Raw genomic sequence first — 20841 nt, forward strand, 5'->3', positions numbered from 1 at the left:
GATGATGAAAGACACCAGATACACTGGGGAAGTGGCAGAGGAAGAGAAGACTAACATATAAATAGGGTTAGCTAAAGGGATGGGTGCACTTTAAAATGAGGAGTGGAATGGTGGAGGGTCTGAACTTTGTATCTCTTTGAAGCTTTCCCTTCAGGCACATTCTTTTCCTTTGTGCTCACCCACTTCTGTATGTTTCTTACCATGTGTAGCTTTCCCTGCATAGCTGTTCTCACAGGGGTCATCTGTTTCCTTATTCTGTGAGCGCCCCAAGGCCAGGAGCTGTTCTGATTCATTTCCATTAATCCAGCAGTGCCCTGCAGGGAGCTATACATAGTGCAGACCTTAGACTATTGCTGATTGATTAAATGAATAAATGAATGAATGAATAACAATTGAAGAAAGAGGGTGAAGCTATCACAGGTCTACCTTTTGGAGACTTTCCATTCTGGGACATCACAACAGGTTTCAAGCACATTTCCTTTCAAGTGTAAATGTAAATACCAGTTAAGCAGAAGGAATCTCTGGAAATAATGGTGGTGGAAGACAAATGGTAACTAACTCTATCATGAGACCAGAGATCAGAAACTTCTTTTGATAATAGATCTTCCTACAGTGGGGAGACAATGAAACTGTGATAATGTTTTGAGGGACTTGATGGAAAGGGTCATGTCTTGGAGACAAAGATTATAAGACCATAGACATAGATAGAGAAAACACAAGAAATGCTAATCATTTTCTTATTGAGATGAAATTAATGTAACATAAAAGTAACTATTTTAAAGTGAACAATTTGGTGGTATTTAGTACTTTTATAATGTGCAACCACTACTTCTATCTATGCAAAATATTTTCATCCGCCAGAAATGAAATCCCATACCCACTAAGAAGTGGTTCCTCAATCCTCTTGTACCTGGTACCTGTCAATCTGTGTTCTGTCTCTGTTGATTTACTCAGTCTGGATATTTTATTAATATTTAAGTGGGGCTATACAATACAATCCAACCTCTTGTGTCTGGCTTCATTCACTTATTTTCACTTAACATTTATTGTGTCATAGCATTTATTGGCACTTATTTCCTTTTCATGGCTGACTAATAATCCATTGTAGACTTATTTACCACATTTGGTTTGTCCATTCATCAGTTAATGGATGTTTGGGTTGTTTTCAGCTTTGGGCTGTTATGAATCATGCTGCTATGCATGTCCATGTACTTGTTTGAGTAGCAAAAAAAAACTGTTTTAAAGTCTAAATTCTAAGCAAGCATCTGACTTCAAAGTGAGAAGCCAAAGGAAAGGGAGAATTCAGCAAAGGGGTCTGAGGGAAGAGGCATTTTACTTGCCCTCCAGGGAGTATATAGTGAGGCATTGAGCCAAGGAGGGCTATATTTGAAAAGTGCTCTATGCTCACTAAAGGGAACATTCTGAATATGAGGAAAATGAAGGTGGTTTCCAGATGACAAACTAATTCCATCAGTCAGAGAATGAAGGCCATTCATGATCCCTTTTCCAAGACTCCCTTTTGTCTATAAACAAACTACAGAGCCTCTCCTAATACATTGTTTCTGGTTGCAGACACGACAACAGACTCAGTTCGCTTTCCCTACGTCAGTCTTTCCTCCAGAGCCCAGGAGTTCGGGATGAGGGTAGTGGAAGGAAGAGGGAGGAGGGAAAGGAATAAGTGTCTTGTAGAACACCACTGGACAGGAAAAACACTGGCAAAGAAAGCTAACTTACCATGTCCTGGGTACTGCATGACATGTTTTCACACAGATCATTTCATTCATCCTGACAACAGCCCTGTGACATGGGCATGCATAATATTTTCATTTTATGATAGAAGAAACTGAGGTTCAGAGAGGTTAAGCAATTTATCCAAGATCATGCCACTCGTTAGTGATGGAGGAAGCCTTCAACTCCAGGTCCTATATTCTTAATTACTGCAGTGACTGCAACCCTCTAGTCTTCCCTAAGCAGGAGCAAAATATTGATTGATTTCCTCTTTTTACCAAGCCCTGGGGTTGGATTATCACTCAGGACCTTTTAAGGATAACAACAAACATTCCTTGAAAATAATTAAACCCACTTTGACTGGGCGCGGTGGCTCACGCCTATAATCCCACCACTTTGGGAGGCTGAGGTGGGCGGATCATGAGGTCAGGAGATCGAGACCATCCTGGATAACACGGTGAAACCCCATCTCTACTAAAAATACAAAAAAATTAGCCAGGCATGGTGGCGGGCACCTGTAGTCCCAGCTACTCGGGAGGCTGAGCCAGGAGAATGGCGTGAATCTGGGAGGCGGAGCTTGCAGTGAACTGAGATCGCACGGCTGCACTCCAGCTTGGGCGACATAGTGAGATTCCATCTCAATGGCTGCACTCCAGCCTGGGTGACATAGTGAGATTCCATCTCAAAAAAAAAAAAAAAATTAAACCCACTTTATATAACTGACTAAGTAGAATGTCTTAAGCAGTACCTTCAGCCAAACGAATGATGAAGTCAGAATGCCCACTACAGTGAACTGAATGGAAACTCTGCTAACAGATGATGTTTACTGGGCTCTACCCCAAGTATGTTACATGGAACCTCATTTAGTCCCAGGAAACCTATGACCTATACCCTACTTGCAGTTTTACCTTACCATCTCCCCAGCTGGATGCAGAGCTTCTCTCTTTGTCTTTGGGAGCAGGATAGGGCCTGGCAAGAAGCAGGTGCTCAGTAGTAAACAGATTCCAGTGTGGTGAGCCCAGGGGCATCTCTTCACTCCCTCCTAGGGCAGAAGGTAATCTCGGGACAGGAGCTCCTTGACCATTCCCCAGGGCCTCACCTGGCTCTTTCCATCACTTTTGTACAATCAGGTTATACAGTCACCGGAAGTATGAATTAGACTGGTCATTTGTACCAGAGATGATACGTTTTGTGAAGAGAGGCCTTGGTTTCTCTGTCAGCAATAGTATAAATTACAGTCTTTTTCACCAGGAGTCTTACTGCTCATTCCGAGCAGACTTTATCCAATGTGAACTGCTCAGTGTTCAGGCTTGGACTCTTGTAGAGGTGTGATCTTGGTAAGCTCAATGGAATTTTCTGCATCTTTACACATGTGTAATATTATCCAATAATACCCACCTCATAGAGTGATTGTAGAAATACGATGATAACAACAATGACAAGCATAACAAAAGTGATAATAGCTAATGTGTATTGTGGGTTTGCTATCTGCCATGTTGCATTGGGCTTAGGTTTTTCTTGTATTTTTTTAATTCTCCCCAAACATGTGTTTGTGTACATATACATACATGCACATGTATATATATATTTACATTATGTGTGTGTGTCCCTATATGTTATCACACATGAAAGGATTTGGTGCTTTTACCAGATATGGTAGTTCCTTAGTAAATGTAACTGATGGTGATGATGTCTGTATATGTTCTGATATAGAGAAAAATGTAGACCAATTCTACAGAAAAACAAGTGGCATTGATTCCTCAAGGAAGGGTGCAGCACATGGCAAGGAGAGAGTTACACATGGGAGAAGAAAAACACTGTTTTTTTTCTTTGCACATCTTTATATCATTTGATGTTTTATCTGAGCATATAGAACAATTTATTAAGTTCAACATTCTCTTAATCTCTTTTTAGTGAGAAAATTGGTGAAACACATTATCACTTTGGAATAAAAGTCATTAAAACAAGAGCCATTCAGGGGATCATTGAGAAGTCCTATGTAAAGGGACATTCATTGCAAACCTGTGAGGAACAGAGGAAAAGTCCCATGTTCACTCATCCTAGCTCCATACTGTGACCCTGCACCTTGCAGTATAAACTCCACAGACACATAGTTCTCACGAAGCCAGTATGCTTCTGAAATGTATTAGATCACATTCTTCTTTCACATTTTCTTGCACAGAACCTTTTTTTCCCAGTTAGCCAAGGCCTCTATTTACCTGGGAAATAACTTTTAAAATTTTGAGCAACAGTTCATAGGAGGAATAGCATCACTGTCCAGCTTTTAATATTTTCCCCTTGGGTATAGTGAGTCAAGAGTCTTAGAAGGTAGATGTTGCTGAGAAGAGATTCTGAAATCCCCCAAACCCCCTTACTTATCAGGAGATACTTCTAATGTGTTGCTCTGAGCAACTTGGAATATGAGTTTGGGAAGTGATCAAGTTTGTATGTTTATTTCTCCCAAATCTCATGTTGAAATGTAATCCCTAATGTTGGAGGTGGGGCCTGGTAGGAGGTGTTTGGGTTATGAAGGTGGATACCTTATGAATTGGTTGGTGCCCTCTCCATGGTAATAAGTGAGTTCTCCTTCTTTTAGTTCATGTGAGAGCTAATTGTTTAAAAGAGCTTGGCATCTCTCTTGCTTCCGCTCTTGCCATGTGACATGCCTGCTCCGCTTACAACTTCTGCCATGAGTAAACACTGCTGCCATGCTTCTTGTACAGCCTGCAGAATTACAAGTTATATAAACCTCTTTTCTTTATAAATTGCCCAGCCTCAGGTATTCCTTTATAGCAATGCAAAATGGACTAATACAGGGAGCCTCCTAGAAGCATTCAGAGGAAGAGGAAATGCTTCCATTGGAAAGTTTATGGAGAAGAAATAGTTGGCAAAACCGCAATTAGTTTTGCACCAACCTAATAGAACCAAAATCTCCACATCAGTGTCTGTACTACCCCAACTCTTTGAGGGAGGCAATATTTAGGGGGTGGGGTAGTGGACTTTTCCAGTAGGTATAAGGGAATCAGAACATTGCCCTGCTTCCTTAAGTATAGTAACAATAGCAATGATAATAACAGCAACTACAAGAATTTACCATTATGGGCTCTTCATACATGCCAGGTGGTTTCCTAAGTCTATTATGTACATGATTTCATTGAACCCTCATAATAAGTTCATGAGGCAAGTACTATTACATAGGCAAGTTACCCCCATTTCAGAGATGAGGGAATGGAGGCACAGTGAAATTGAAATAAATTTGTCAAGGCCACTAGCTAAGAAGTGACTGAAGTGAGTTTTAAGTTGAAGAATGATGCAGAATCTATGTTCTAAACCCAAGACAGTGCTGCTGCTTGGTCATGACACAAGCTTTTACTTACTGAGGCTTATGATGTGCTAGGTCCTGTTTTAAGGGCATTAAAAATGTTATCACATTTGACTCTTAGTAACCACAAAATATAGTGCTATTATTGGCCCGATGTTACACATGAAGATACACAAGAATAGAAAAGATTTAAACTTTCATAAATGTATCCATTTAGCAAGTACTACCATGGGATTTATTTTATTTTATTTTATTTTTATTATTATTATACTTTAAGTTTTAGGGTACATGTGCACAATGTGCAGGTTTGTTACATATGTATACATGTGCCATGTTGCTGTGCTGCACCCATTAACTCGTCATTTAGCATTAGGTATATCTCCTAATGCTATCCCTCCCCACTCCCCCAACCCCACAATAGTCCCCGGTGTGTGATGTTCCCCTTCCTGTGTCCATGTGTTCTCATTGTTCAATTCCCACCTATGAGTGAGAACATGCGGTGTTTGGTTTTTTGTCCTTGTGATAGTTTCCTGAGAATGATGGTTTCCAGCCTCATCCATTTCCCTACAAAGGACATGAACTCATCATTTTTTATGGCTGCATAGTATTCCATGGTCTATATGTGCCACATTTTCTTAATCCAGTCTGTTGGACATTTGGGTGGGTTCCAAGTCTTTGCTATTGTGAATAGTGCCGCAATAAACATACGTGTGCATGTGTCTTTATAGCAGCATGATTTATAATCCTTTGGGTATATACCCAGTAATGGGATGGCTGGGTGAAATGGTATTTCTAGTTCTAGATCCCTGAGGAATCGCCACACCGACTTCCACAATGGTTAAACTAGTTTACAATCCCACCAACAGTGTAAAAGTGTTCCTGTTTCTCCACATCCTCTCCAGCACCTGTTGTTTCCTGACATTTTAATGATCACCATTCTAACTGGTGTGAGATGGTATCTCATTGTGGTTTTGATTTGCATTTCTCTGATGGCCAGTGATGATGAGCATTTTTTCATGTGTTTTTTGGCTGCATAAATGTCTTCTTTTGAGAAGTGTCTGTTCATATCCTTCGCCTACTTGTTGATGGGGTTGTTTGTTTTTTTCTTGTAAATTTGTTTGAGTTCATTGTAGATTCCGGATATTAGCGCTTTGTCAGATGAGTAGGTTGCAAAAATTTTCTCCCATTCTGTAGGCTGCCTGTTCACTCTGATGGTAGTTTCTTTTGCTGTGCAGAAGCTCTTTAGTTTAATTAGATCCCACTTGTCAATTTTAGCTTTTGTTGCCATTGCTTTTGGTGTTTTAGACATGAAGTCCTTGCCCATGCCTATGTCCTGAATGGTATTGCCTAGGTTTTCTTCTAGGGTTTTTATGGTTTTAGGTCTAACATTTAAGTCTTTAATCCATCTTGAATTAATTTTTGTACAAGGTGCAAGGAAGGGATCCAGTTTCAGCTTTCTACATATGGCTAGCCAGTTTTCCCAGCACCATTTATTAAATAGGGAATCCTTTCCCCATTTCTTGTTTTTGTCAGGTTTGTCAAAGATCAGATAGTTGTAGATATGTGGCATTGTTTCTGAGGGCTCTGTTCTGTTCCATTGGTCTATATCTCTGTTTTGGTACCAGTACCATGCTGTTTTGGTTACCGTAGCCTTGTAGTATAGTTTGAAGTCAGGTAGCATGATGCCTCCAGCTTTGTTCTTTTGGCTTAGGATTGACTTGGTGATGCGGGCTCTTTTTTGGTTCCATATGAACTTTAAAGTAGTCTTTTCCAATTCTGTGAAGAAAGTCATTGGTAGCTTGATGGGGATGGCATTGAATCTATAAATTACCTTGGGCAGTATGGCCATTTTCACGATATTGATTGTTCCTACCCATGAGCATGGAATGTTCTTCCATTTGTTTGTATCCTCTTTTATTTCATTGAGCAGTGGTTTGTAGTTCTCCTTGAAGAGGTCCTTCACATCCCTTGTAAGTTGGATTCCTAGGTATTTTATTCTCTTTGAAGCAATTGTGAATGGGAGTTCACTTATGATTTGGGTCTCTGTTTGTCTGTTATTGGTGTATAAGAATGCTTGTGAGTTTTGCACATTGATTTTGTATCCTGAGACTTTGCTGAAGTTGCTTATCCACTTAAGGAGATTTTGGGCTGAGATGATGGGGTTTTCTAGATGTACAGTCATGTCATCTGCAAACAGGGACAATTTGACTTCCTCTTTTCCTAATCGAATGCCCTTTATTTCTTTCTCCTTCCTGATTGCCCTGGCCAGAACTTCCAACACTATGTTGAATAGGAGTGGTGAGAGAGGTCATCCCTGTCTTGTGCCAGTTTTCAAAGGAAATGCTTCCAGTTTTTGTCCATTCAGTATGATATTGGCTATGGGTTTGTCATAGATAGCTCTTATTATTTTGAGATACGTCCCATCAATACCTAACTTATTGAGAGTCTTTAGCATGAAGGTTGTTGAATTTTGTCAAAGGCCTTTTCTGCATCTATTGAGATAATCATGTGGTTTTTGTCTTTGGTTCTGTTTATATGCTGGATTACGTTTATTGATTTTCGTATGTTGAACCAGCCTTGCATCCCAGGGATGAAGCCCACTTGATCATGGTGGATAAGCTTTTTGATGTGTTGCTGGATTCGGTTTGCCAGGATTTTATTGAGGATTTTTGCATCAATGTTCATCAAGGATATTGATCTAAAATCCTCTTTTTTTCTTGTGTCTCTGCCAGGTTTTGGTATCAGGATGATGCTGGCCTCATAAAATGAGTTAGGGAGGATTCCCTCTTTTTCTGTTGATTGGAATAGTTTCAGAAGGAATGGTACCAGCTCCTCCTTGTACTTCTGGTAGAATTTGACTGTGAATCCGTCTGGTCCCGGACTTTTTTGGTTGCTAGGCTATTAATTATTGCCTCAATTTCAGAGCCTGTTATTGGTCTATTCAGAGATTCAACTTCTTCCTGGTTTAGTCTTGGGAGAGTGTATGTGTCGAGGAATTTATCCATTTCTTCTAGATTTTCTAGTTTATTTGTGTAGAGGTGTTTATAGTATTCTCTGATGGTAGTTTGTATTTCTGTGGGATTGGTGGTGATATCCCCTTTATCATTTTTTATTGCGTCTATTTGATTCTTCTCTCTTTTCTTCTTTATTAGTCTTGCTAGCAGTCTATCAATTTTGTTGATCTTTTCAAAAAACCAGCTCCCAGATTCATTGATTTTTTTGAAGGGTTTTTTGTGTCTCTATTTCCTTCAGTTCTGCTCTGATCTTAGTTATTTCTTGCCTTCTGCTAGGTTTTGAATGTGTTTGCTCTTGCTTCTCTAGTTCTTTTAATTGTGATGTTAGGGTGTCAATTTGAGATCTTTCCTGCTTTCTCTTGTGGGCATTTAGTGCTATAAATTTCCCTCTACACACTGTTTTGAATGTGTCCCAGAGATTCTGGTATGTTGTGTCTTTGTTCTCATTGGTTTCAAAGAACATCTTTATTTCTGCCTTCATTTCGTTATGTACCCAATAGTCACTCAGGAGCAGGTTGTTCAGTTTCCATGTAGTTGAGCGGTTTTGAGTGAGTTTCTTAATCGTGAGTTCTAGTTTGATTGCACTGTGGTCTGAGAGACAGTTTGTTATAATTTCTGTTCTTTTACATTTGCTGAGGAGTGCTTTATTTCCAACTATGTGGTCAACTTTGGAAGAGGTGTGGTGTGGTGCTGAGAAGAATGTATATTCTGTTGATTTGGGGTGGAGTTCTGTAGATGTCTATTAGGTCCGCTTGGTGCAGAGCTGAGTTCAATTCCTGGATATCCTTGTTAACTTTCTGTCTTGTTGATCTGTCTAATGTTGACAGTGTGGTGTTAAAGTCTCCCATTATTATTGTGTGGGAGTCTAAGTCACTTTGTAGGTCACTAAGGACTTGCTTTATGAATCTGGGTGCTCCTGTATTGGGTGCATATATATTTAGGATAGTTAATTCTTCTTGTTGAATTGATCCCTTTACCATTATGTAATGGCCTTCTTTGTCTCTTTTGATCTTTGTTGGTTTAAAGTCTGTTTTATCCAAGACTAGGATTGCAACCCCTGCCTTTTTTTGTTTTCCATTTGCTTGGTAGATCTTCCCCCATCCCTTTATTTTGAGCCTATGTGTGTCTCTGCACATGAGATGGGTTTCCTGAATACAGCATACTGATGGGTCTTGACTCTTTATCCAATTTGCCAGTCTGAGTCTTTTAATTGGAGCATTTAGCCCATTTACATTTAAGGTTAGTATTGTTATGTGTGAATTTGATCCTGTCATTATGATGTTAGCTGGTTATTTTGCTCATTAGTTGATGCAGTTTCTTCCTAGCCTTGATGGTCTTTACAATTTGGCATGTTTTTGCAGTGGGTGGTACTGGTTTTTCCTTTCCATGTTTAGTGCTTCCTTCAGAGCTCTTTTAGGGCAGGCCTGGTGGTGACAAAATCTCTCAGCATTTGCTTGTCTATGAAGTATTTTATTTCTCCTTCACTTATGAAGCTTAGTTTGGCTGGATATGAAATTCTGGGTTGAAAATTCTTTTCTTTAAGAATGTTGAATATTGGCCACCACTCTCTTCTGGCTTGTAGGGTTTCTGCCAAGAGATCCGCTGTTAGTCTGATGGGCTTCCCTTTGAGGGTAACCCGACCTTTCTCTCTGGCTGCCCTTAACATTTTTCCTTCATTTTAACTTTGGTGAATCTTACGGTTATGTGTCTTGGAGTTGCTCTTCTCGAGGAGTATCTTTGTGGTGTTCTCTGTATTTCCTGAATCTGAACGTTGGCCTACCTTGCTAGATTGGGGAATTTCTCCTGGATAATATTCTGCAGAGTGTTTTCCAACTTGGTTCCATTCTCCCCATCACTTTCAGGTACACCAATTAGACGTAGATTAGGTCTTTTCACATAGTCCCCTATTTCTTGGAGGCTTTGTTCATTTCTTTTTATTCTTTTTTCTCTAAACTTCTCTTCACGCTTCATTTCATTCATTTCATCTTCCATCGCTGATACCCTTTCTTCCAGTTGATTGCATCGGTTACTGAGGCATGTGCATTCGTCACATAGTTCTCATACCATGGTTGTCAGCTCCATCAGGTCCTTTAAGGACTTCTCTGCATTGGTTATTCTAGTTATCCATTCATCTAATTTTTTTTTCGAAGTTTTAAACTTCTTTGCCATTGGTTCGAACTTCCTCCTTTAGCTCGGAGTACTTTGATCTTCTGAAGCCTTCCTCTCTCAACTCGTCAAAGTCATTCTCCGTCCAGCTTTGTTCCGTTGCTGGTGAGGAGTTGCGTTCCTTTGGAGGAGGAGAGGTGCTCTGATTTTTAGAGTTTCCAGTTTTTCTGCTCTGTTTTTTCCCCATCTTTGTGGTTTTATCTACCTTTGGTGTTCGATGATGGTGACGTACAGATGGGTTTTTGGTGTGGATGTCCTTTCTGTTTGTTAGTTTTCCTTCTAACAGTCAGGACCCTCAGCTGCAGGTCTGTTGGAGCGGTCTGGAGGTCCACTCCAGACCCTGTTTGCCTGGGTATCAGCAGCGGTGGCTGCAGAACAGCAGATATTGGTGAACCGCAAATGCTGCTGCCTGGTCGTTCCTCTGGAAGTTTTGTCTCAGAGGAGTACCTGGCCGTGTGAGGTGTCAGTCCGCCCCTACTGGGGGGTGCCTCCCAGTTAGGCTACTCGGGGGTCAGGGACCCATTTGAGGAGGCAGTCTGCCTGTTGTCAGATCTCAAGCTGCGTGCTGGGAGAACCACTACTCTCTTCAAAGCTGTCAGACAGGGACATTTAAGTCTGCAGAGGTTATTGCTGTCTTTTGTTTGTCTGTGCCCTGCCCCCAGAGGTGGAGCCTACAGAAGCAGGCCGGCTTCCTTGAGCTGTGGTGGGCTCCACCCAGTTCGAGCTTCCTGGCCACTTTGTTTACCTACTCAAGCCTGAGCAATGGCAGGCGCCCCTCCCCCAGCCTCGCTGCTGCCTTGCAGTTTGATCTCAGACTGCTGTGCTAGCAATGAGTGAGGCTCCATGGGTGTAGAACCCTCCGAGCCATGTGTGGCCTATAATCTCCTGGTGTGCCGTTTGATAAGCCCGTTGGAAAAGTGCAGTATTAGGGTGGGAGTGACCCGATTTTCCAGGTGCCCTCTGTCACCCCTTTCTTTGACTAGGAAAGGGAATTCCCTGACCCCTTGCGCTTCCCGGGTGAGGCGATGCCTTGCCCTTCTTCAGCTCACGCACGGTTCACTGCACCCACTGTCCTGCACCCACTGTCCGGCACTCCCCAGTGAGATGAACCCAGTACCTCAGTTGGAAATGCAGAAATCACCCGTCTTCTGCATTGCTCACGCTGGGAGCTGTAGACTGGAGCTGTTCCTATTCGGCCATCTTGGCTCCACCCTCTACCATGGGATTTAAACCCAGGCAGACTGGGCCCAAGTCCCTTCTGACCTGAGTGGGGCTCGGGATTCCGAGTAGACAAGCGGAAAACACTGGGCCCTAAGAACTGCAGGAGAAGCACTCAAGCCCATCAGCTACAGAGGGCAACAGCCCTGGAGAAAACTTGGCCCTGGGTGTGAAAAAGTAACTTATCCACAACTCCTTCTCTTCTCGAATTTCATCAAATCACCTGGAGTACCAGAAGGGCAGCACTTGCCGCACATCCCCTTCTCCATCCTCATCAAAACTCACCTGGAGTATCAGAAAGATAGCACTAATCTATTCCCTTCTCTTCTACATCCTTATCAAAGTCTCCTGGAGTACCAGAAGGGCAGCACTCATCCCCCATCTGCTCCTATTCTTTATCCTCATCAAAGCTCAACTAGAGTAATAGAAGGATAATACTCATTCCCCATCCCCTTCTCCATCCTCATCAAAACTCAACTGGAGCATCAGAAAGGCAGCACTAATCTCCCACCACTTTCTCCATCCTCATTAAAGTCATCTGAAGTATGAGAAGGACGGCACTCATACTGCAGCCTCTTCTCTTCTCCATGGTCTTGAAGGCTCACCTGGAGTACCAGAACAGGCTTGCAAATCACTGCTAGTCTGTAACCTCTTTGCCCTGCAGCCAGGTTACTTTTCAGGGTTGCAAACCTTCAATGAATTTTTAATTTTATTTAATTCTAGTTAATTTAAATAGCCTCATGTGGGTAGTAGCTACCATATTGACCAGTGCAGGTCTGGAGTCCCACGTCCTTAGCCTGACAATAAGACCTTTCCTAGCCTGGGCATTACTTCTCATCCAGTCTAGAGTTTTCTAATCATGCTGCATTCACCTGCATCTGCTTTCAGTTTCTTGATCCAGCTGAGATACTTTGTCTTTCCATGCTTTTGTGCAGCCATGGGACCAGGACAAGACAAAAGTGGCACCTGAGGCATACAATGTAATGATGTGCTCCCTCTCAGGGTGGTGCACTGTAAAGTCTAGAAAGCTTTTCAATGCTTTCCCTTCTCCATTAGTCCCTGCTCACCTTTCAAGTACCAGCTCAAATGCCTCCTCCATCAGGAAGCCTTCCCCTAGCACCTTCAGGCAGAACTAAGATGCCCTTCCTTCAATGTCACCACTCTTTTTACAAAGTTTCCTTTACCTGTTTCACCATCCTCCTACACCAGGTCAGTGCTTTAAGACCAGGAGCCATCTGTCATTTATTTCTATATCCTCAATACTGTCTTGGCTAGAAAAGGTGCTCATTTGGCACCTTTGAAAATGATTGAATTGAGTTTTTGAATTCATCTGGCCTGGCCCACAATGACAGCCCCACATTTCTCAAATGTGTTTTAATCTGGGGTTAAAGTCAGGACATATGATGTCAGCCAACAGAAGGGAGGGGAGAAGTTATCATTTTCATGACGTTAAGTCTAACTTCTAAGTCCAGCTAGACTTTTCCCATGAAAGGTGCCCTGACCACCACCACATATTCCTCCACCTTCTACCCTCTGCCCCCATCCCTCCTCTTCCCCACCCACAATATGGTCTTGCTCTGTTGGGCTTCGCCAGAGTTTGGAGTCTGTTTCATCACCACCCATCCACTCCTACCTCCAGGAGATAATTGGTTGCTGCTGGTCTTGGCAGCAACCTTGAGGCTACACTTGTATTTCTATCAGCACTAATTAGTGACTAAATAAACAGCAAGAGAGCCTCAGGATAGGCCCACATGCAGGACTTTCAGACTGGGTGGAAAATGTCAAGACATAATGAAACTCCTTCTCTGAATCACATCTGGAGAATGAAAAGCTGGGGAAAGCCAAATCCTGAAACACATGAGAAAAATAGGAGAAGGGAGTACAGTTCTCCTTGGAGTTTCTTGCGTCTTTGTAACATGCTCAGGAGGAGGAAAATTCACATGGCTGGGGAGAGCCAGGAGGCTGCCTTGCCAAACATCTCCTTGCTCTGAGTTTTGCTGTGTGGGAGGTGCTGCGTGAACCTGTCATGTTGATGAAAGTTTCATGTCTGTGGAATGTTCGGAAGAGGTAAAAGCATTGAAGATTGCTCTAAAATGTGTAACACCTAATATGGGACAGGAAGTCACAGCTGTGTGGGCTGCATGGGGTCAGGGCTCATCTCAAACACACTCACTCATAATCAGAGGAGCTGCATCCCAGAGAAGGGAGGTGACTTTGCTGAGTGCATGGAAAGCTTTTGGAGCAAGAAAGTCTAGGTCTCGAATCCAGGCTCCCTGACTCCCAGGCCAGAGCAATTTCTGCTGTAGCTCAACAATAGAGGGAATAAGGTTTGGGAAACAGACGCTGACATTTTTTCCTTAATAATGTCCCATTCCACCCTTCAAAATGCCCCCAGCAGAGAGGATGGAGGACTGAGAAGCTGGCTCTCGGCTCTGGGGCTGTCACATCTCAGTAGGGGTAGACTGACAAGCTCAGAAGTAGGGGCAGATGACCTTGCATTAAGTCAGGTTCTTTAACTTGTTTGCTTGTGACTGTGGACACATCCTTTAGCTTTCTGGGCTTCACTTTCTTATCTGTGAAATGGGCCTTGTAAACCTGAACTCTTAGGTCATTTGTGGAAATTAAATGAGATAATGGATAGAAAGTAGCTAATTTAACAGCTCTATTTATGAGAGCAGCTATCCTGTGCCAACTTTGAAGCTACAGAGCTGCCAGCCTGGTGCCCAGGAGGCTGTGAACATCTATCATGGCTGGCTGGTAGGGGCAAGTTGGGGTAGAGATGCCAGTGAAAGTGGCCCCATTGGCTGCAGACACTAAATCCAAGGAGTTGCCCTCACTCCCCATGCACCCAGCAGCAGCCCCATTGCAGGCTGGGCTGAGTTCTGTCTGACTCTGCAGCAAACACCCTTCCCCTCTTCACTTCCCAAGACATCTGGAGCAGCTGACTCAAGCACCAATGAGATAATGTTTTTATTTGTTCTGTTTGTTTTTTGTTTATAAACCTGGGCTCCTGGGAGAAGCCAGATTCAAAAGTAGGTCTGAGATGTGAAGGTCAGCCTTGAGACTGACCACAGGGCCGAGGCCCAGCTGGGGAAAACACCAGGCCACCACACCTAATGGCCAGGCCAACTGCCTGTTGTTGCACTGTTACAGTTCTTCTCCTAGGTGCCCAGCCCTGGGCAGGAGGTGGGGGAGGCAGAGGCACAGCCTTCTAGGACCCAGTCTTGGAGACCCTCCAGGGTGCTCTGAAAAAGCAAGAGACTATGATAGAATGCAATATGATCGAGCTGTGACAGCAAAAGCTTGTGGGCTTATTTGAGGATTAAATGAGTTGTAGCAAGTCTTCAAGAATAGCTAACAATTACTCTAATAAAAAGGGAAGCACAGGAGCTTTTGAAGCAGCAAGAAGGCTCTAAGCTCAGTTTTGGGAGTGGGACAGTGTGGTGTGAAAGGGAGGGAAGTTTTGGCAGGGGCAGGAGGGTGATCTAATTGAGACTGGGCCCTTCTTCCTCTAGGCTGATGTGTATCCTTATCATATAAACCAGTACTTTTTTCTCCCACTACGTGCTGGAATCTATGCTAGGCTATGCTTTGAGGAGATCACAGAGATGTATAGAACTCAGTTTCTGCCCCTGCAGTGCCCATAGGTCGATGAGAAAGAGGATACATGTATAATCACACAATTGTGCAAAGCCTGCAGGAACACTCTGCAACATCCCAAGCTTCTGAGCCTCTCAAAGCCTCAGTTTCCCCATCTGGACCTATACAATTGGTATCATAATTATATGCTATCTTGCAAGGCTTTTGTGCAACAGTCCTGTAGTAAAGCAGTTAATAGTAGTAAAGCAATTAGCAGAGCTCCTAGCCCATTTTAAAAGCCCAGTAAATGCTGCTTAGTAGGATGATAGTGGTGATAAGTATTGTCCTGAGCCACTAAAGTGGGGGCAGTGGATGTATGGTGAGGATGGGAAAGGGGACATTTGGTTTGAAACATAAAAGATGAATAAGAGTCAAGTATGCAGAGGGATCAATGCAGAAAAAGAACTGGCAGGGAGGATGGTACTACATTCTGGGAAAACAATAGCAGCTGTGATGTGGGTTAATATGAAGGCTGAGCCCCTTCTCGAGCATCTGCAGGTGCTTGGAAAGATGAAGAGTCACTTCAAGGACTTCAAGAATCTTGGATGTCAATGTATAGGTTTTGTCTTGTAGACCAATGGTTTTAAATACTCTCTTCTCTTCTTTCCTTCCTTTCTTCTTTTCTTTTCCTTTCTCCCTCCCTGTCTTCCTCTCTCTCCATTTCCTTTTAGCAATTGAACTTTTCATTTGAAAGCAATGTTAAACAGAAGCCCATTATAAAGAACAAATAGAGGTGGAACTGCTGTTTGAAAGTTACCTATGGAACTACCATAGCTGGGGGTTTCCCCAGAAAGCACGGCCTGAGATAAGCATTTGTGCGCAGGTAGTTGCTTTTTGGATACAACCTCAGGGAACAGTAACAAGGGGGTAGGACATGAGGAAAGGAAGAAAGCCAATACCAGTGGTGCCATGTCCAGCTAATCATCACCATGGACAATGGAGGCTGGATTCTGCAGGGACCTTCTGAGGACCATATAGAAAGTCCTTCAAAATTGTCTGCCTGATGGTGAGAAATGGGGTCACAAAATCCACCTGCTTTCTGCCCCCGTTGGTTAAGGATTGCCCCATAGGTTGTTAACTCCCTTGCATTTTCAAGTTTTCCTGAGCGTAGATGTTGAGCAGGGTACCATGGTTGCCCTACTTCTTGATGTTCCAGAAGCCCCGGGGCAGTAAGTCAGCAAGATGGAGGTGCAGCTGGGGGCATTGCCTAGACCCCACTGGCAATGGCTAGGGTAGAAGGTGGATTGAAAAGATGTGAGGCAGGGCACAGGTGTGAATGCAAGATCTCATGACAGTTTGAGACTGGGGAGAAATGAATAGGGACAGGAAGTCCATTTAGGCAACAATTGGTGCCACAGACCAGGGAACAAGTTGTGAGGGAGGGAAGCAAATAACTTGGAGTGAGAAGGAAGGGGAGAATGGTTAGGGAGCTAGAATGGAGAATGGTTAGGGAGCTAGAATCCGTGGGGCTTGGGGATCACTTGGATGTGGGAGATGAGAGTGACTGGAGTGGTTGTTAGGTGTTCAGCTGGGGCACTAGACAAAGTGCAGTGCTGCTCACCCAAACAAGAGACTCAGAAGTTGGAGGAGATTTATTTATCCATTTATTTTAATGGAACAGATTTTTTTTTTTCCTTTTCCAGGTGGAGAGAAAATGAGCCCTCAGCTTTCCTGTAAGCCTCTACTAAGTGGCTTCCTGTCTGCATGAAACAGAAAGAAATTCCAGAATCATGCAAGTGGGGTTGGGACAGGGTGGGTAGTGTATGCTTAGGACTTGCCTTTTTTTTTTTTTTTTTTTTTGCCTCCATTGCTCTTGTATCTACAGAGCAACTACCTCCTTCTCTACTGACTTGTACGCACAGAGTCCTGATACTGGAAAGACCCTCTCTTTGTGTGGAAAGAAATGCTGGGCACAATGAAGTGATGCACCTGTGTTCATGCCGTGAGCTGGGATGTGAATGCTGATTGTAACCCAGGCCTGATTCTTATTCTTCTCCCCTTCCCTTCCATGCCTCCTGTAGCTCCTTTCTGTTCCCTGCCTGCTTTCTTAGAATGGGCCTAGGGATACCATGAGGTTTTGGTTATTCCCTATTCAAACAAGCAAACACAAAGCATTGTCTGTGTACAGCCTTTAAAGTATGCAATACCATTTTCCAGTTACTGCCTCCCTTCAGCTCCAGTTTTCTCCTCTTCCATCCAGGGTGAAACTGGTCCACAGAGCAGTAGTGTGATCTTCCCAAGGTCTCATGACCAGGAAGAAGAGGTGAGACCTGGATCTGAAACCAGGCTTCCTGGATCTTTCTCTATTTCTAATGTGGGGTTGAAATCATGTCCTTGGTGCCCCCAAGATAACATATATAAGCTTCTAACACATAGCAGCTACCCATTTGGCGCTATTTTCCTCTCTTTCTCCTCTGATCTCTTTCTATCAAACCATGCTGTTGCTCCCAAAGTTCCTCCAGCCAGTACTTTCCTGAGGAGTTCCTGGATTACTCTGTGCCTTTATAGAAAAACAAGAATGGTAAATACACTTCTTGCAGCCCAGACAATGTCTCTAATTGCTCTGAGCGTACATCTCATGTCCGTCAGGATAAAGTTCAGAACCTTAACCTGGCATCAAGGTATTCCACATGCACTCCAGCCTCTCTAATTCTGCCTTCTCTTTGAAACCATTCTGAAAGCACTGGGCAGAGTTCCTTGTCCTCTCAGTTATAGCTCTACAGTTAAAGCACTTAAACCCTCAAAGTTATTGTCTATTTGGGAAACTGTACCCACCCCAAGACTGTGCTGCTTGAGAGTCAGATAAGCCTTATTTACATCATTTTCCTCTATGAATCAGCACAGAGCCTGGCACAGGTAAGTACTCAGTAAATATTTGTTGAATTAATGCCACAATCGATGTATACATAAATCAGTGACTCAATGAATGAGGGTAGTGATACCTGCCCTTCATGAACTTGCAGAGTTAGTGTGGTACAGATGCAAGATGTATAACTATAAGGTTCCAGACAGATACAGAGCATTATTCCCATGGGTTTATAAGATGGACCTTGAAGAGTTAGCATGTGTGCTCACATAACCTGTATTGGCTGCTGTAGGTGCTGCTCTTCGGGTAGCAGGGCCAAGGAGAACCTTGCAAAGTAACCTCATGTATCTTTATGGAAGGAACCATGTTGTAGTTTCTGAATGGAGCTTGGCATAGACAAAGCATGCAGTTCATAGTTAGTATCAATAGTGGCAGATTCAAACCATGGGGCAGTGTGTATTCCATGCAGTGAGTCACCTGGAAATTCCAAAAAGCTCAAATTGATCTTATCTTCCTAACTTCACTCAAATTTTCTGAGTCTCAGTTTTCTCAGCTCTAAATGGAGCCATAATAGGGACCACCTCCCAGAGTGATTGCGTAAGAATTATGCAGATTACACAATGTATGGCTGTGGCTCCCAAAAGTTCCTCCAGTTAATGCTTTCCTGAGGAGTTCCTGGATTACTCTGTTCCTTTACAGAAAACCAAAAATTGTATATAGACTCAAGCATTGCCTGTGTACAATCTTTAGAGTATCTAATGCCATTTTTCAGTTATTACTGCCTTTCAGCCCCAATTTTCTCCTCTTTCATTCAGGGTGAAACTGGTCCACAGAGCAGTAGAGTGATCTTCCCACGGTCTTCCTAGTGACAACTGGTTGGAGCAATGTTCGCTCTCTAGCTAGTATCTAGACATAGAGTAATGAGCATCAACCAAGTATGTGCCCAGGCTTGAGAATCTGCCCTATAGAAGTACACAATATTACATTAAATATTTACAAAGATCTCACTTTCCAACTTGGGCCTGGCAGAGTGGCTCCCGCAAAGAAGGGTGGTGAGAAGAAAAAGGGCCATTCTGCCATCAATGAAGCAGTGACCGGAGAATACACCAACATCATTCACAAGCACATCCATGAAGTGGGCTTCAAGAAACATCCCCCTTGGACATTCAAAGAGATCTGGAAATTTGCCATGAAGGAGATGGGAATTCCAGATGTGTGCATTGATACTAGGTTCAACAGACCTGTCTGGGCCAAAGGAATAAAGAATGTCCCATACAGTATCTATGTGCAGTTGTCCAGAAAACGTAATGAGGATGAAGATCCTCATTAAGTAAGTTGTATACTTTGGTTGCCTATGTACCTGCTACCGCTCTCAAGAATCTACAGACAGTCAACGTGGATGAGAACTAACCAGTGATTGTCAAATATATCAAAGTTATAAAATTGCCAAAAAAAAAAAAAAAAAAGACCTACAGGAAGCTGCTCTGAAGAGGAGAGCCATGGGCCACATGTCTTCATTCCTTCAGTCTGCATGGTTGATTCTGGTCTTGTCGGGTTTAGAAAACAGCTTCATTTATTAACAGAAGGGCATAGGGCTGAGAATGGGCCCTCTGGAAGAAGGCAATTTGAAAGAGATAGGTCCTCAAGACCCCAGCCAAGAAACCTAAGGTGTCAGACCAGGCACTTGTCAAAGCAGGAAATGAGACTTGTGTCAGGAGTGAGGGGGAGGCTGGGGTATCAATGAGTACATCTTGTCCTAGATGGAGGTGTTCTGTAGCAGCCCAGGGGCAGAGAGCTGACTCACCAGACAACAGACACAGTAGCAGTGACCAGCACATGACTGCTCTCAGAGAGGAGACGGTATTGGACTATGCTTCTAAATTATGTACCACACTGCTGCATTGATTCAGGTAAGGCAGGGTAGGGCTGGACTTGTAAGCTGAAGGCCTTGTGGGTTGCTGGAGATTTGGCCTGGGGAAAGTAGGAGCTGACAGCTGCAGTCTCACTTTTTGTACAGACACAGGTTAGATATATTCTCTGCTTGACTCGAAGCTATTGTGTTGGCAAAGACCCTGTCCCAGTCTTTGGTTTTCTCTGTATTAGTGGAACTAAGCATGATGCCAGGCACATGGGAGGTGTTCAGTAAATCACTGCAGAATTTAGGAATAAACATGTAGAGCTGGGGAATGTGTGTTTTAGGGTGGGGGAAGGTGGACACGTTGTCCTAAGAAAAGTATAACTCTAGGATTTGAAATCTTATCCTCTTCAACCTGAGACCTTCTCAGGTAATCGTAGACAGGATTCATGAACACACTTCCAGGGCAAACACATTTCATGTTGATGCAGAGTATCTGGGACTTGGAAGAAACAACTCCTTATCTGAAGGATAATTTAGCAATTAGGAGCTGAGGCCTAACAGAAGGTTACCTAACATGTCTGTGTCTGCTTTCTCATCTGTAAAACAAGGGGCTAATGCCTGTTCATGGGGTAACTGAGGAGTTGGTGAGATGATGTGTGAGAAATTAGCAGTCCACAGCACAGCTTGATAAATGTTTGTTGAATGGCAAATGCCATTCTGGTGACTAAAGTTCACCATGGCTCAGTTCTGCTTTCTGCCTTGACTCATCCTCCTTGTTGTCTGCCAAAAATCATTCTGTGCCCAACCTGGTTCCTTCTCAAACTAAGAGGTCCATTCACAACACTAGCTGGCATCAGGTAGGAAGCCACCCTTGGTCATCTGCTGCTCATCCTCGGGGGACAGACAGTGATGGACAGGCAGACTCTGAAAGTGGAGCTGAGTCTTGAGCACTGAGCATGTCATCCATCATTGAAGCCACTTCGAGAGGAGAGGAAAGTAGTCAGTAGTGTCACCTACTGACTGGCACTGCTGGTAGCAGGGGGTCTTATTTTAGCAATGCCTCTGAGCTCATGCAAGTATCATTGGGAAG

General features: G+C 43.2%; 1 pseudogene; it reads left to right on the top strand.

Annotated features, from left to right (window-relative positions):
- RPL31P43 (ribosomal protein L31 pseudogene 43) lies at positions 18896 to 19273 on the top strand (annotated as a pseudogene).

This window comes from Homo sapiens, chromosome 9 (genome assembly GCF_000001405.40).
Source record: "Homo sapiens chromosome 9, GRCh38.p14 Primary Assembly".
NCBI lineage: Eukaryota > Metazoa > Chordata > Mammalia > Primates > Hominidae > Homo > Homo sapiens.